Source organism: Homo sapiens, chromosome 19, assembly GCF_000001405.40.
Source record: "Homo sapiens chromosome 19, GRCh38.p14 Primary Assembly".
Classification (NCBI taxonomy): Eukaryota; Metazoa; Chordata; class Mammalia; order Primates; family Hominidae; genus Homo; species Homo sapiens.
Genome location: NC_000019.10, coordinates 37409025 through 37426753, shown reverse-complemented (window position 1 = coordinate 37426753; position 17729 = coordinate 37409025). Strand labels below are relative to the sequence as shown.

Here is a 17729-nt window from a genome sequence, read left to right as displayed (position 1 = left end):
TTGCATGTCCCACCATACCACAGATTTCACCTATCATTCTGTCCCCTGCTTCTGCTTCCATCTAAGCCTTGCTTTCATTTTTTCCTGCCTTTGGTATCTTGTGAGATCTCAAACCACTTAACTTGGTTAAAGTTTTATTTTTATGTTTCTTTCACACTCAATATAAATTGGTACCTAAAATCTCCCCTTTAACTCATGGTAGATATTAAAGACATGTGCTTGCTAATCAGTGAATGAACATAAATGACAGGATGCTGCTAATATGATGGGCTTTTTTAATAACCTCTGATTAATATCAGAACAAGGTTCAATATATTTTGTTTACAATCACCCAAGATGGATGACTTCAGATTGAGTGGGAGTGTGTTGTTACAGGGAACAGTAACATTCAAAGATGTGGCTATCGACTTCACTCAGGAGGAGTGGAAGAGATTGGATCCTGCTCAGAGAAAACTGTACCGGAATGTGATGCTAGAAAACTATAACAACTTAATCACAGTAGGTAAGAGTAATTTACTATATAATTCAAACTCTGGAAAGAAAGTACCTTTTTTTTCCTCCCAGTGTTTCTGAAATACATGGACCTTTTAAATATTAGAGTGAGCTTGGCCTTGGGATGCTTTTGCTCATGTGAATGTCCATGCTGCAGTTTTCAGAGCAAAAGGGGACAGAACCCCCGAAGCCACATTTTCTTGTCCTTTAGCCTGGTTTTCCTGGGCCAGCCTCAATTTTTGGGTGGTTCTTTGTTCCTAGTATGTATGCCCAAATCTATGTAACTTCCCTTTGACAGGCTATCCGTTCACCAAACCTGATGTGATTTTCAAATTGGAGCAAGAAGAAGAACCATGGGTGATGGAGGAAGAAGTATTAAGGAGACACTGGCAAGGTTAGTGGAAGGGAACCAGACAGGTGAGGAGAGGTCAGGGCCTATTAATGATTAATCAGTGAATGGTTGATCCCTCTAAAATATTCTTCAAAGATATTTTCAGAGGTTGGCACAGTGGTTCATACCTATAGTCCCAGCACTTTGGGAAGCCAAGGTGGAAGGATTGCTTGAGTCCAGGAGTTTGGGACCAGCCTGGGCAACATAGTGAGACCTCATCTCTTAAAAAAAAAAGAGAAAAGAAAAATTGGGCCTGGCACAGTGGCTTGCGCCTGTAATCCCTGCACTTTAGGAGGCCGAGGTGGGCGGATCATGAGGTCAGGAGATCACAACCATCCTGGCTAACACGGTGAAACCCCATCTCTACTAAAAATACAAAAAATTAGCTTGGCGTGGTGACACGCGCCTGTAGTCCCAGCTACTTGGGAGGCTGAGGCAGGAGAATCGCTTGAACCCGGGAGGCAGAGGTTGCAGTGAGCCAAGATTGCGCCACTGCACTCCAGCCTGGGCGACAGAGCAAGACTCTGTCAAAAAAAAAAAAAAAAAAAAAAATTAGCCACGTGTGGTGGCATACGCTTATGATCCCAGCTGCTTGGAAGGCTGAGGTGGGAGGATCACTTGAGCCTAGGAGGTTGAGGCTACAGTAAGCCATGATCACAGCACTGCACTCTAGCCTAGGCAACGGAGTGAGACCCTGTCTCAAAAAATATATATATATTTTCAGAAAGCATGTAGACCTTTTGTGTGTGTATGTGTGTGACAGAGTGAGACTCTGTCACTGTGGAGTACAGTGGCGCGATCTCGGCTCACTGCAACCCCCACCTCCCAGGTTCAAGTGATTTTCCTGCCTCAGCCTCCTGATAGCTGGGACTACAGGCACGTGCCACCACACCCTGCTAATTTTTTGTATTTTTAGTAAAGACAGGGTTTCACCATGTTAGCCAGGATGGTCTTGATCTCCTGACCTCGTGATCTGCCTGCCTTGGCCTCCCAAAGTGTTGGGATTACAGGCATGAGCCACCATGCCCGGCTTTTTTTTTTTTTTTTTTTTTTTTGAGACAGAGTCTCACTCTGTCACCCAGGCTGGAGTGCAGTGGTGCAATCTTGGCTCACTGCAACCTCTGGCTCCTGGGTTCAAACGATTCTCATGCCTCAGCCTCCCGAGTAGCTGGGACTATAGGCATGCACCACCATGCCTGGCTAACTTTTTGGTATTTTTAGTAGGGATGGGGTTTCACTATGTTGGCCAGGCTGGTCTTGAACTCCTGACCTCAAGTGATCCGCCCACCTCAGCCTCCCAAAGTGCTGAGATTACAGGCGTGAGCCACCGCGCCTGGCCTGATGTACACTTTTGTAGTACAAAAGTGACCATTGATGCAAACTCTTTTATAAACCTAAGATGTCATTTCTAGATACCATTCTTAATTTCTTTCCTCAGAACTTAGAGATCTGGTTGGCTTTCTTACCTGTGTGCTAGATACCAACCTTTCCTAATAAGTTTCCAGGCTTACTTTGATATTCATTCTATTATTAGCATCTTCGGGAGTACCATCCACCCTCATATACAGGATCCTTTCTTTTTGCATACATTCACTAATTTGCAGTTGTTAAATCAAACCTACTGACATTTATAGTCCCTTACTTTCTCTTCTTTCTTCCATTGTAAATGTCTGAAATGTCGTACAGTCATACTTCCCACTGTATTTTTAGGTTTTACTCTCATACTTCAATAATCACTACCACCCTTTATTTCAATAAAAGTTTTAAGTCAGTGCTGATTTTTTGGTAGCTCCCATTTTCTGATATATTTGTCATGTACATATGCAAGTGTATGTAATGTAGGTGTGCATCTATATATACCCACATATACATATATACATATACATATATATGTCCATATACACGTATTTTGAATTTTATAAAGTCATTTTTGCCCTCCAAAGAGACTGTAATAATTTATATTTCCACCAGTAACTTCAACCAGTGTAGTCTGTTAGCATTTAAAAAAATCGTTGCCAAACTGAGGTGAAAAATGGTAGCTAATTATAGCTTGAATTTACATTTCCTTTATGATGAGTGAAGGCAAGCATCTTTTCATGTTTCCAATCTATATTTCTTTGTTTTAATAAACAGTTGGTATCCTTTGCCCTTGTTTCTGTCAAGTTCTTAATTTGTATGAACTCTTAACATATTGAGCTGATTGGCACATCATCTGTCATATGTTTTTCTTGTGTTTTTTTCCCAAAGAGATTATTCCTCGTTGAAGTACTTTTTTGCCACCTCGACTTTTTAAAATAATTCATGTAGTTAAAACAATCTGTTCCTATAGGAGATTATCACAATTTTTAAAATGTATATGGTTCAATTATGTTTAGATATTTCTCAATAATGACTCATCCTCTTATGTTTGCTATGAATTTAAATAATTGTTTATACTTTTAAAGTTTTTAATGTCAATGTTAGACTGGTTTTATAAATAGAATTTGGAAGCTTTCCTTCATGCTCTAGAGCATTTATATAGCATTAGTGTTAAAACTCCCTAGAAAATTTGGTAGATGTTACCTGTTGAACTATTTCGACCTTGTGTATTTCTGAGGGAAGTTTCCTTGACAACTCTTTTCATTTTTCCTTTTATAACTATCCTATGTGTATGTAAATATATTTTTGTCTTTTGGCATTAGTTTTTGATAATAGGTTGTATTTTTCCATGAAATTACCCACTTAATTCTAGTCTTCAAATTTTCAGAGTTGACAAAGTAACTTCCATAAATATTAAAATTTCCTCTGTATCTGTAAAAAGTTACCACACATTGATATTCCAGGATCATCTATTATATTTGAAAATTTGTTTCATCTGTATTTTCAAATGTTTTGGTATGAAATTATTTGTAGTGTTCTCTGATTTTAGCTAACAGTTGCTTGTTTTCCTATTGTTTATTTTTTGTGTGGGATAGGTGGGTAGAGAGGTATTCTTGGAGGTTTGTGCTATGTCCTGTAGACCCAGTGATGCATCAGAATGTCTGTCTTATCCATTACCTTGTTTTGCAGTGTGACATTGCTGTACCGTAATTCTAATGGTGAAAGTTCTATTCCCCCCGCACCATAATATTCTTCATTTCAATGGTGGTTTTCTTTTTCTCTTCCAATTATTTCCTTGGTTCTGCTGGTAAAATTTTATACCCTTTCTGTTTTCTCAATGATTCTTCCTCATGCATTTATACAGGCATATCTCATGTTATTATGCTTTATTTTATTGTGCTTGGCAAATGTTGCATTTTTTTATAAATTGAAGGCTTGTGGCAGCCCTGCATCGAACAAGCCCATTGGCACCATTTTTCCAAAAGCATGTGCTCACTGTGTGTGTCTGTGTCACATTCTTGCAATATTTCAAACCTTTTCATTATATTATTATCTGTTATGGGGATCTGTGATCAGTGATCTTTGATGTTACTGTTGTCATTGTTTTGGGGTGCCACAAACTTCATCCATGTAAGATGGCAGACTTAATTGATGTTAAATGTTGTATGTGTTCTGACTATTCTACTGACCACCCATTCCCGTCTCTCTCCCTTTTTCTGGGTCTCTCTCTTCCCTGAAACACAACAATATTGAAATTAGGGCAATTAATAACCCTACAATGACCTCTAAGTGTTCAAGTGAAAGGAAGAGTCGCACATCTCTCACTTTAAATTAAAAGCTAGGAATGATTAAGCTTAGTGAAGAAAGCATGTTAAAAGCCAAGATAGACCAAAAGCAAAGCCTTTTGTGTTTGCCAAGTTGTGAATGCAAAGGAAAAGTTCTTGAAGTAAATTTAAAGTGCTGGCCAGGTGTGGTGGCTCACGCCTGTAATCCTAACACTTTGGCAGGCTGAGGCCGGTGGATTGCTTGGGCCCAGGAGTTCAAGACCAGACTGGGCAACATGGTGAAACCCTGTCTCTACTAAAAATACAGAAATTAGCCGGATGTAATGGTGCATGCCTGTAGTCCCAGCTGCTTGGGAGGCTGAGACGAGAGGATTGATTGAGTCTAAGAGGTGGAGGTTGCAATGAGCTGAGATCACACTACTGCATCCCAGCCTAGGTGACAGAGCAAGACCCTGTCTCAAAAAAAAAAAAAAAAAAAAAAAAGTGCCACTACAGTATACACACAAATGATAAGATGATAAGAAAGCAAAATAGCCTTATTGTTGATAGGGAGAAAGTTTTAGTTGTCTGGGTAGAAGATCAAACCAGCCACAGCATTCCCTTAAGCCAAAGCATAATCCAGGACAAGCCCCTAATTATCTTCAATTCTATGAAGGCTTAGAGGTGAGGAAGCTGCAGAAGAAAAGTTTGAAGCTAGCAGAGGTAGGTTCATAAGGTTTAAGGAAAGAGCCATCTCCATAACATAAAAATACAAGGTAAAGCAGTAAGAGCCGATGGAAGCTGCAGTAAATTATCCAGAAGATCTAGCTAAGATTATTGATGAGGGTGGCTAACTAAACAATAGCGTTCCGATGTAGATGCAACAGCCTTCTATTGGAAGAAGATGCCATCTAGGACTTTCACAGCTAGAGAGGTGAAGTCAGTGGCTGGCTTCAAAGTTTCAAATGACAGACTGACCCTCCTGTTATGGGCTAATGCAGGTGGTGACTTTAAGTTGGAGCCAGTATTCATTTCCCATTCTGAAAATCCTAGGGCCCTTAGGAATTATGCTAAATACACCCTGCTCGTGCTCTATAAATGGAATAACAAAGCCTGGACGACAGCACATCTGTTTACAGCATTGATTTGCTAAATATTTTAAGCCCACTGTTGATACCTACTGCTCACGAGAAAAAAAAGTTCCTTTGAAAATAGTATTGCTCATTGACAGTGCACTTGGTCACCCAGGAGCTCTAATGGAGATGTACAAGGAGATCAGTGTTGGTTTTCATGCCTGCTAATACAACATCCATTCTGCAGCTCATGGATCAAGCAGTAATTTTGACTTTCAAGTCTTATTATTTACGAAATACATTCTGTAATGTAATAGCTTCCATAGGTAATGATTCCTCTGATGGATCTGGGTAAAGTAAATTAAAAAGTGTAAAAACTGGCTGGAAAGGATTTATGTTTCCAGGTGCTATTATGAATATTCATGACTCAGGAGAGGAGATCAGAATATCAACAGGAGTTTGAAAGAGGTTCATTCGACACTCATGGATGACTTTGAAGGATTCAAGGCTTCAGTGGAGGAAGTAATTGTAGATGTGCAACTAGCAAGAGAAGTAGAATTAGAAGTAGAGCCGGAAGATGTGACTGAATTGCTGCAGTCTCGTGATTGCAGGGATAAGGATTACTTCTTATGGGTGAACAAAGAAAGTCATTTCTTTAGGATCTACTCCTGGTGAAGATGCTGTGCAAATTGTGGAAATCAATGATTTAGAATATTCCATAAATATAATTGATAAAGCAGTGGTAGGATTTGAGAGGAGTGACTACAGTTTTGAAAGAAGTCCTACTGTGGGTAAAGTACTATCAAACAACATCACATGCCACAGAGAAACTTTTTGTGAAAGAAAAGTCAATCAATGTGACTCTTCATTGTTATCTTAAGAAATTGGGGCCGGCGCAGTGGCTCACACCTGTAATCCGAGCACTTTGGGAGGCCGAGGTGGGCAGATCACGAGGTCAGGAGTTCGAGACTAGCCTGGCCAACATAGTGAAACCCCGTCTCTACTAAAAACACAAAAAAAATTAGCCTGGCGTGGTGGCGCACACCTGTAATCCCAGCTACTCAGGAGGCTGAGGCAGGAGAATCGCTTGAACCTGGGAGGCAGAGGTTGCAGTGAGCAGAGATCGAGCCACTGCACTCTAGCCTCTGCACTCTTGCCTGGGCGACAGAGGGAGACTCTGTCTCAAAAAAAAAAAAAAAAAAAAAGAAAGAAAAGAAAAAAGAAATTGCTACAGCCACCCCAACTTTCTGTAATCCCCCCTTGATTAGTCAGCAGCCATCAACATTGAGATTGAGGAAGACACCTATCAGCAAAAAGATTATGACTCACTGAAGGTTCAGATGATTGTTAGCATTTTTAAGCAATATTTTAAAATTAAGGTGTACATTTTTTAGACATGATGCTGTTATATACGTAATAGACTAAGTATATAGTATTAAATTTTTTTTTTTTGAGACGTAGTCTCTCTTAGTTACCCAGGCTGGAGTGCAGTGGCATGATCTCGGCTCACTGCAACCTCCACCTCCCAGGTTCAAACGATTCTCCTGCCTCAGCCTCCCAGTAGCTGGGATTACAGGCGCCTGCCACCACGCCCGGCTAATTTTTTTGAATTTTTAGTAGAGACAGGGTTTCACCATATTGGCCAGGCTGGTCTTGAACCCCTGACCTCAAATGATTCACCCACCTCGGCCTCCCAAAGTGCTGGGATTACAGTCGTGAGCCACCGCACCCAGCCAACATAACTTTTATATGCACTGGGAAACCAAAAATGTTGTGTGACATGCTTTATTGTGGTGGTGTGGAACTGAACCCACAGTATCTCTGAAGTATGCCTGTGTTTCTATTTTGAATTATTGATTTGTAGATTTTAATTTATTATCTTTTTGTATATTCGTTGTAATATATTTAGTCAAGATTATCATTTATGTAAACTATCAGTAAACATACAACCTACAGAATGGGAGAAAATATTTGCAAACTATGCATCTGACACAGTCCTAATATCCAGCATCTATAAGGAACTTAAATTTACAAGAAAAAAACAGCCCTATTAAACGGACATGAACAGACACTTTTCAAGACATAAATATGGCCAAGAAGCTTATGAAAGAAAGTTCAATATCACTGATTGTTAGAGAAATCCAAATCACCATAATGAGATACCATCTCACAACAGTCATAATGGCCATTATTAAAAAGTCAAAAAATAACAGATGCTGGCAGAGAGGAGAAAAATTTCCATTTTCCTATTGGAAGTAAGCAGCAATAGGGAACTGAACATCTCAGCCTTATTAAGTACGTAAACTTTTGCTTGATATCCTTGTTTGAGCCAGTTTAGGTTCCCTGTAGTCTTCTGCCTGGTGTCCCTGACTCTAGAGTCTATCTGGTTCCATTTCTCCAGAAGCAGAGAGTAGTCTTCCCATCTTCTCTTGGGAGTGATAGGTACCTCATTGCACAGTGCAGGCAATTGTTTGCCTTACAGACTTCCATTCAATTTTGTTATTTTTTAGGGCCCCTGTTCATTCCCACCTTTCATGGTGCATGACTTCTCTAATTTCTCAGCCTTTCTTTAGTTATATAGTAGGAACTTGCTTTTTGACATCTTCGTCTGCAGGCACATGGGTTTTAGCGTTCTCGGTTCTTCTGTTAGATAATAGTCCTTTCATCTTCTTCCATCTGCTAAAATTATGTTTACATCTATCATCCATTGTTGTCTGTTATGGTCTTTGTCTTCGTTGGTTTATGCCTTTTAAATGATACCATATTTGTGCACTTTTGGATAGAATCTGAGCTAAACTCATGTATTTATTATACCATATTTAACCTCAACTTCTTACTATTTCTTTTCCCTATGGTCACTATATTTGCCCCTATACAATTAACCTAGGTGGGCCTCTCCAGTTTTATGTTCCAATTCCGTCATCCAGTTTTTAACCTTCCTATTGGTTCTTCTCATTTTATTGATTATTGCAGTGTTCAGAACAATTTTATTTGTTTAGACTGGATATAAACACATACTCATAGAACAGAACTTTATTTTATTATTATTATTATTATTATTATTATTATTATTTGAGATGGAGTCTCACTCTGTTACCCAGGCTGGAGTACAGTGGCGCGATCTTGGCTCACTGCAACCTCCGCCTCCCAGGTTCAAGCGATTCTCCTGCCTCAGCCTCCCGAGTAGCTGGGACTACAGGCACGTGCCACCATGCCTGGCTAATTTTTGTATTTTTAGTAGAGACCGGGTTGCACTATGTTGGCCAGGCTAGTCTCTTAACTCCTGACTTCATGATCCACATGCCTCAACCTGCTGGGATTACAGGCGTGTGCCATCGCACCCGGCCAGAACAGAACTTTTAAAGTACAAAAGGATATATGTTGAAAAGTAATTCTTCTCTTACACATTTTTCCCTTCTATGGTGGCAACCCCCAGTATCATTTTCCTTTGAGCTATTTTCAAACATTTTTATTGAAACCGCTTTAAACTGATATATTAACTTACGAATGTCATCTTTATGCCATTGAATTTTCTTGTCTAAAATGCTTTAATGCCTTTTTCTTAGTTTCCTAGGGCTGCTGAAACAAAGTACCACAAGCTGGGTAACTTAGAAATAACAGGAATTGGCCAGGTGTGGTGGCCCACGCCTGTAATCCCAGCACTTTGAGAGGCCGAGGCGGGTGGATCATCTGAGCTCAGGAGTTTAAGACCACCCAGGGCAACATGGTGAAACCCCATCTCTACTAAAAATACAAAAAAATTAACCACGCCTCTAGTCCCAGCTACTTGGGAGGTTGAGGTAGGAGAATCTTTTGAACCCCAGCGTCGAAGGTTGCAGTGAGCCTAGATCACACCACTGCACTCCAGCTTGGGTTACAGAGTGAGACTCTGTCTCTAAAAAATAAAAAAAATAACTATTCTCACAGTTCTGGAGGCCAGAAATCTAAAATCAAGGTGTCAGTGGGGCCATACTCCCTCTGAAACCTGTAGGGAAGGATTCTTCCTTGCCTCTTTCAGCTTCTGGTATCCCCAGACATTCCTTGGTTTGTGGCAGCATAACTCTACTCTGTCTCTCCATCTTCACATGGCATTTCTTCCATGTCTCTTGTCTCTTCATGTAGCATTCTTCTTCTAAGAACACGAGTCGTATCGCATGGGGGCTTCTCTTATTCCAGTTTGACCTCATCTTAACTAATTTCATCTTCAATGACCCTATTTCTAAATGAAGCCTCATTCTGAGGCACTAGGAGTTAGGACTTCAGTTCAATCCATAACACAATTCAATCCATAACACCATTCTATTTGTTCAAGTCTGTGTGTTCATTTTAAACTTTTCTTCATATGGTTTTTGGACATTTTTTATTTTTGTATATTTTTCATACTTTTTGTTGTCATTGTAAATGTAGTTTTTAATTCTATAATTTCTAAATATAGTCAGCCCTTTCTATCCATGCTTTCTGCAACTACAAATTGAAAATATTCAGGGGAAAAAAGCAACAAAAAATAACAATACAACAATAAAAAATAATACAAATTTTAAATTATAGTATAACAATGATTTACATAGCATTTATATTGTATTCAGTATTATAAGTAATCTGGAGATTATTTAAAGTATACAGAAAGATACACATAAGTTATAAGAAAATACTTTTATCATTTTATGTAAGGCATTGAGCATCCATGGATTTTGGTATCCACGGGAGGTCCTGGAACCAGTCCCCAATAGATAATGAGGGATGACTGTAGTTGTTTGTATATGAAGGTTTTTAAAAATAAATATCAATTCATATGTAGTGAATTTCTTACTTTTCACAATTGTTCAGATGACTTGATTTTTCAGGTAAACAGTTTTGTTTCTGACAAATAATGTTAATTTTCATTTTCTTTTCCTGTTTTTTTTTTTTGTTTTTTTGTTTTTTTGTTTGTTTGTTTTGTGTTTTGACACACAGTCTTAATCTTTCCCCCAGGCTAGAGAGCAGTGGTGATCTCTGCTCACTGCAACCTTAACCTCCCAGGCTTAGGTGATCCTCCCATCTCAGCCTCCCTAGTAGCTGGGACTATAGGCTTGCACCACTACACCCAGCTAATTTTTGTATCTTTTGTAGAAATGGGGTTTTGCCATGTTGCTCAGTCTGGTCTTGAACTCCTGAGCTCAAGAGATCTGTTTGCCTCAGCCTCCCAAAGTGCTAGGATTACAGGCGTGAGCCACTGCACTCACGCCTTTTAATTAAGAAAAGAGGGGCAACTCTTTTCTTAATATTCTTTTTTTTTTTCTTTTTCTTTTTTCTTTTGAGACAGAGTCTCACTCTGTCGCCCAGGCTGGAGTGCAGTGGCGTGATCTTGGCTCACCGCAACCTCTACCTCACAGGTTCACGCCATTCTCCTGCCTCAGCCTCCCAAGTAGCTGAGACTAGAGGTGCCCGCCACCATGCCCAGCTAATTTTTTTTTTTTTTTTGTATTTTTAGTAGAGATGGGGTTTCACTGTGTTAGCCAGGATGGTCTCAATCTCCTGACCTCGCGATCCGCCCGCCTTGGCCTCCCAAAGTGCTGGGATTATAGGCATGAGCCACCGCGCCCGGCCTCTTAATTTTCATACCTCTGATTTATTTCTCTTATTTAATTGTACTACCTAGTACTGCAATGAGTGGTGACAACTCATCTTTTCTTATTTCTGACTTTAATGTGAATGCTTCTGGATGTTTTCCATTAAGTAAAGTGCTGGTGTTTGGGCTGTACTGTACTTTATTCTCAAATTAAATGTTATTTGTTCCTATTTTATATAAAGGATTTTTAAATGAAAAATAGATGTTGAGTTTTATTATCTTAATATCTACAGAAATGATTACTTGATTTTTTCATTTTTTCAAATGTCATTACTTGACATTTTTCATTAATTTATTTATAGTAATATACTTTCTATTATCGAAACGTATCCCTGGAAAAAATGTACTCAACTCAAATATGATATATTTTATATTTAATGTGCTTCTGGGTCACTTTTTTCCTTTTGGGTCATTTTGATGTTTTACATAGAATTTTTACAATGGTTTTCATAAATGAAATCGGATAGTTTGCTTTTTTGGTGTGTCATCTTTGTCAGGTTTTGGTATTAATATATGTTTCATACACAAAAACATCAGGAATTTTTGTCTTTTTTCTTTCACAACATTTTAGACAGCATAGGAGTTGTCCTTTAAAATCTGTTAGAATTTTCATGTGGATCTCTGGGTTTTTCCTTTTTGTTTTAGGGAATTACTTTTCATATTTCTTTTCATTTTATGGAAATTGGTTTAGATAAGTTTTTTGCATCTTGTAGTGTCAGTTTTAGTAATTTACAATCCAGAAAAGTGTTTAGATTATAAAAATGTATTTTAATAGAGTCCCGCAAAATGATCTTATACTTTTTAGCTTCCTGTTTTTGTTTTTTCTCTATCATTATTTCTTCTTACTTCATTTGTACATTCTGCATTTCCTATTTATTTACCTATTTGTTTTCTATCAGATCATTTTTTAAAGCAATCAAAGCTATTTGTATTTATAAATATATGCCTCTACTCATATTTCCTTTCCTGAATTTCCTTCTCAGAACTTCAGAGATAAGAGATATATGCAGTTGAAAATGTTTTAATAGTGGGAGAGTAGGGCTTAAACCAATAATCAGTCCCATAATTGCATATTTTTCAAAATGTTCTTCATATTACAATATTGGAAAAAAATTTGTAAGTGATATTTATTTGCAATCTGTTTTAGGAGAAATATGGGGAGTTGATGAGCATCAGAAAAACCAGGACAGACTTTTGAGACAAGTTGAAGTTAAATTCCAGAAAACACTGACTGAAGAAAAAGGCAATGAATGTCAAAAGAAATTTGCAAATGTATTTCCTCTGAACTCTGATTTTTTCCCTTCCAGACACAATCTCTATGAGTATGACTTATTTGGAAAGTGTTTAGAACATAATTTTGACTGTCATAATAATGTGAAATGCCTTATGAGAAAGGAGCATTGTGAATATAATGAACCTGTGAAATCATATGGTAATAGCTCATCCCATTTTGTCATTACCCCCTTTAAGTGTAATCATTGTGGAAAAGGCTTCAATCAGACTTTGGACCTCATCAGACATCTGAGAATTCATACTGGAGAGAAGCCCTATGAATGTAGTAACTGTAGAAAAGCCTTCAGTCACAAGGAAAAACTTATTAAACATTATAAAATTCACAGTAGGGAGCAGTCTTACAAATGTAATGAATGTGGTAAAGCTTTCATTAAAATGTCAAATCTCATTAGACATCAAAGAATTCATACTGGAGAGAAGCCCTATGCATGTAAGGAATGTGAGAAGTCCTTCAGCCAGAAATCAAATCTTATTGATCATGAAAAAATTCATACTGGAGAGAAACCTTATGAATGTAATGAGTGTGGAAAAGCATTCAGCCAGAAGCAAAGCCTCATTGCACATCAGAAAGTTCATACTGGGGAGAAACCTTATGCATGTAATGAATGTGGTAAAGCCTTCCCTCGAATTGCATCCCTTGCTCTTCATATGAGAAGTCATACAGGAGAAAAACCTTATAAATGTGATAAATGTGGTAAAGCCTTCTCTCAGTTTTCCATGCTTATTATACATGTTAGAATTCATACAGGTGAAAAACCCTATGAATGTAATGAGTGTGGAAAAGCCTTCTCTCAAAGCTCAGCCCTTACTGTACATATGAGAAGTCACACTGGTGAGAAACCCTATGAATGTAAGGAATGCAGAAAAGCCTTCAGCCACAAGAAAAACTTCATTACACACCAGAAAATTCATACTAGAGAGAAACCTTATGAGTGTAATGAATGTGGGAAAGCTTTTATACAGATGTCAAATCTTGTTAGACACCAGAGAATTCATACTGGGGAAAAACCCTATATATGTAAGGAATGTGGGAAAGCCTTTAGCCAGAAATCAAATCTCATTGCTCATGAAAAAATTCATTCTGGAGAGAAACCCTATGAATGCAATGAATGTGGTAAAGCCTTCAGCCAAAAGCAAAACTTCATTACACATCAAAAAGTTCATACTGGAGAGAAACCTTATGATTGTAATGAATGTGGTAAAGCCTTCTCTCAAATTGCATCCCTTACCCTTCATTTGAGAAGTCATACAGGGGAAAAGCCTTATGAATGTGATAAATGTGGTAAAGCCTTCTCTCAGTGCTCACTGCTTAATTTACATATGAGAAGTCACACAGGTGAGAAGCCCTATGTATGTAATGAATGTGGGAAAGCCTTCTCTCAAAGAACTTCCCTTATTGTGCACATGAGAGGCCATACAGGTGAAAAACCCTATGAATGTAATAAATGTGGAAAAGCCTTCTCCCAAAGCTCATCCCTTACTATACATATACGAGGACATACAGGTGAGAAACCCTTCGACTGTAGTAAATGTGGAAAAGCCTTCTCTCAAATCTCATCTCTTACCCTTCATATGAGAAAACATACAGGTGAGAAGCCCTATCACTGTATTGAGTGTGGCAAGGCTTTCAGCCAAAAGTCGCACCTTGTTAGACACCAGAGAATTCATACTCATTAGAAACCCTATGAATATTGTGAATATGGCAAGGCCATCTGAAGGAATTAACACCTCATTGCACATTACATGATCACTTCCAGAGTAGAAAACTATGAATGTGGGATAGCCTTCTGAAAAAGCCACAAATTTATGAAACATTAGAGAATTCTTCCAAGGTGACAAATTATATAATGAAAAAGCTGTTACCAGAAACTTTCAGCAGACATCTTATTGATAATATTTAATCAGCATTCTCATTGAAATCTGAAACAAGGTATCTTCCATCAGCATAACAACACAACACTTGAGCTCCTAGCCAATGTATTAAGTAAGGAAAACAAGTATCAACGAAGAACTATAAAAATAACTTTTATACAAGAAATAATTAGAAAATGTGTTGATAGAAAACCTAAGAATAAACACAACAATGAGTTAGGTCTTTATCAAGTTATAAAATATGTTGAAAGGCACAAAAGAACACCTGAAAAATGATATTTTGTCTGAAAAGACTTGACATTGTAAAAATATAATTTCTCTCCCAAATCACTAAGTTTAATATACTTCTGAAGTTTACATCAGTTTTATTTTAAGGAACTTCACAAACTTATCCAAAAATTTTATGTGGAAAAGTAAAGAAACACAAATAGCTGAAACAAACTTGACAAAGCAAGTAGAGAAGACACACTCTATTATTAGATATATCATGTACTTATTTAAAGCTGCTGTCATTTAAACAATGTATTACCAAGTGAATAAATCAAGCAGTAGTAAGATAGTGAGCATTCATACAAAAATCCAAGAAGATACAGGAATTCTGTGTATGACAGTGCTATTGAAATCACTGGGGAATGAATGGCTTATTTAATAAATGGAAGGTTCATAGGAGAAAAATTTTAGCTTTCTACTTTATATCATATACAAAAATAAAATCCAACTAAAGACCAGAATATAAAAAGCAAAATTTTAAAACTATGATGAAAGTAGAATCCGTTACTTTAGGGTAACAAGATTTCTTTAAAAAACATGTAAACATGGAATAGTCTGTTGAATTTTGGTGTATTGGCCTCACAGGCACCCACAAATGTACACAAAGAGATATATATCACTGTGTTCCTGAATCATGGTTTGTATTGCCCAAAATTGGATATAACAAATTTTTATCAATTGTGGAATAGATGAATAAGTGTGATCATTTCTGTGATAAAATACAGAATTTAGAAACAAAATCTACCTATAGTTATATGGATAGATTACAATATATAATATTGAGAGAAAAAATTAAAATGCACAAAGGAACACAGTATAACATTTGTATAATTTAATAAGATCTTGCAAAGAACAGTACTGTGTATTGGTCATGGATCCATATATGACTTGGTTGCCTTTTGGGATGTGGGAAAGGTTTGGTGGGAGTTGTTATATTTATCTGTAATATTTCTTTAATAAAAGAGTGAAAGCAAATATGACAGTGGTGACAAATCTGGTTGTCCAAATTAATTATATGGGTTTTTAAAATTGTTTTTTCTTGCTTTTATTTTCCTAATTTCTCAAAAATAAGAATCAAATGGGTGGGGGAAACCTGGGCCTGGAGAAATAATTTTAAAATGGATTTTTATTCTTGATCAGATACTAACATTTATAGAAGATTGTCTTTACACAAAACATACCTGACAAGGTATTATTTTGTTTACTGTCTCTTCATGTTAATTGGAATAATAAAATCAGCAGTATTTTCGCATTTATTTGAGGCCAATTTTTAATTTTAAACTCAAATTTTTTTCTAGTTGAGTATAGAAACAAAACAATTATTTTATTATTGGGATAATTGGCTATCCATTTGGGGAAAGAAATCCACCTTCATTTGGGTTGGTTTTGGAGTGAAGGAAAGAGACCATTCATGCATACTGTAAAATATAGTTTACATTCTAATATATCAAGCCAAGAATAGTTATTGGTGTTAGAGTAGAAGCAATTTCTATATATCTCAACAAAGCTTTTCTTTGTTTCTGGATCAATAAATGGGGATGCAGATGCTGGTGATTTTATGTATGCCAGGTAAGGGCCCAGTGGATGTGAAAAATTCACTTCATTCTGTTCCACAGATGTTTTATATTCAGGCCTTTCAAATATTTATGTCGTGGCCAGGTGCAGTGGTGGCTCACACCTGTAATCCCAGCACTTTGGGAGGCTGAGGCAGGTGGATCACTTGAGGTCAGGAGTTTGTGAGCAGCCTGGCCAACATGGTGTAACCCCGTCTCAACTAAAAATACAAAAATTAGCTGGGTGTGGTTGTGTGTGCCTCTTATCCCAGCTACTTGGGAGGCTGAAGCACGAGAATTGCTTGAACCCAGGAGGCAGAGGTTGCAGTGAGCTGAGATCACGCCACTGCATTCCAGCCTGGGCAACAGAGTGAGACTCCATCTCAAAAAACAAACAAAAAAACAAATATGTTGCCTCCAATTTCATTTTCTGTGAATAGTCTATTCATATATTAAGTCTGTTTTTTTCTACTGGAACTTCAAAAATGTTTTTCTTGGAAACAATTATGGATTTATAGGAAGTTATACAGATAATGCTGTATAGTACTATTTAGTCCTTGTACCCCACACCTCGTTTCTCCTAATGGTAACACCTTATATAACAGTACAGAATCAAATTTGACATTGGTACAATCCACAAACATTACCAGTTTTATAGGCACTTGTGTATGTGTCTGTACAGTTCTATACAGTTTTATCTCATGCACAGATTAGTGTAACTGCCACTCCCCATAGTCAATCTATAAAACTGACAGCACCACAAAGGTCCCTTGTTCTATCCATTTATAGTCACACCCATCTTCCTGTCCTCCTCACTCCCCATCCCTAACCCCTGGCAATTACTAGTCTATTCTCTATCTCTATAGTTTTTTCATAATGGATTTTTTTCTTTTTTGTGTGTGTTACAATATATTCTGGACACAAATCCTTTGTCAGTTACTTGCATTCTAAAAATAGTTTTGTTTTCAGTTTATTGCAGACACAAAAATTTTAAAGCTGAATGTGAAAATTAGTCTATGATACATTTTGAGTTAACTTTTTATAAGGAATAAAATTTAGGTCAAGGTTCATTTTTTGGATGTCTACTTGTTACAGTGCTATTTGTTGAAAAAAAATATTGTTTCTCCATTGAATTGCTTGGCCTACTTCTGTGTTTCTGAATGCTCTTTTCCAAAAATCTATGCATCTATCCCTCTATCAATGCCACACTGTCTTGATTACTATAGCTGTATACTGATTGCTCTCATTTTTTTACTTTTTCTTTTTCTTTTTTTTTTTTGAGGCAGGGTCTCACTCCTGTCACCCAGGCTGGAGTGCAATGGTTCTAGTCATAGCTCACTGCAGAATCAGATGATTCTCCAAGCCAAGTAGCTGAGACTAGACGTGTGTGTCAGCACACTCAGCTAATTTTTGTATTTTGAGTAGAGATGGTTTTGCCATGTTGCCCAGGCTGGTCTCAAACTCTTGAGTTCAAGGAATCCTCTGGCCTTGGTCTCCCAAAATGCTGGAATTACAGGCGTGAGCCACCACACCTGACCTATTATTCATTTTCAA

General features: G+C 37.5%; 1 protein-coding gene across 10 annotated transcripts in view; it reads left to right on the top strand.

The window, feature by feature from the left end:
• Positions 1 to 15597, top strand: part of ZNF569 (zinc finger protein 569) — a 58109-nt gene extending 42512 nt beyond the window's left edge. For 8 of the 10 annotated variants that reach the window (XM_006723048.5, XM_011526538.4, XM_047438278.1 and 5 more), the window contains 3 exons: positions 376 to 502; positions 791 to 886; positions 12335 to 15597. In XM_006723048.5, coding sequence (XP_006723111.1) covers positions 376 to 502; positions 791 to 886; positions 12335 to 14157 — 2046 coding nt within the window. In that variant the 3' untranslated portion in view covers positions 14158 to 15597. The remainder of the gene's footprint in view (positions 1 to 375; positions 503 to 790; positions 887 to 12334) is intronic. The other 2 variants (XM_017026379.2, NM_001330482.2) reach the window with 1 other exon arrangement.
• Positions 15598 to 17729: the final 2132 nt, after the last annotated feature.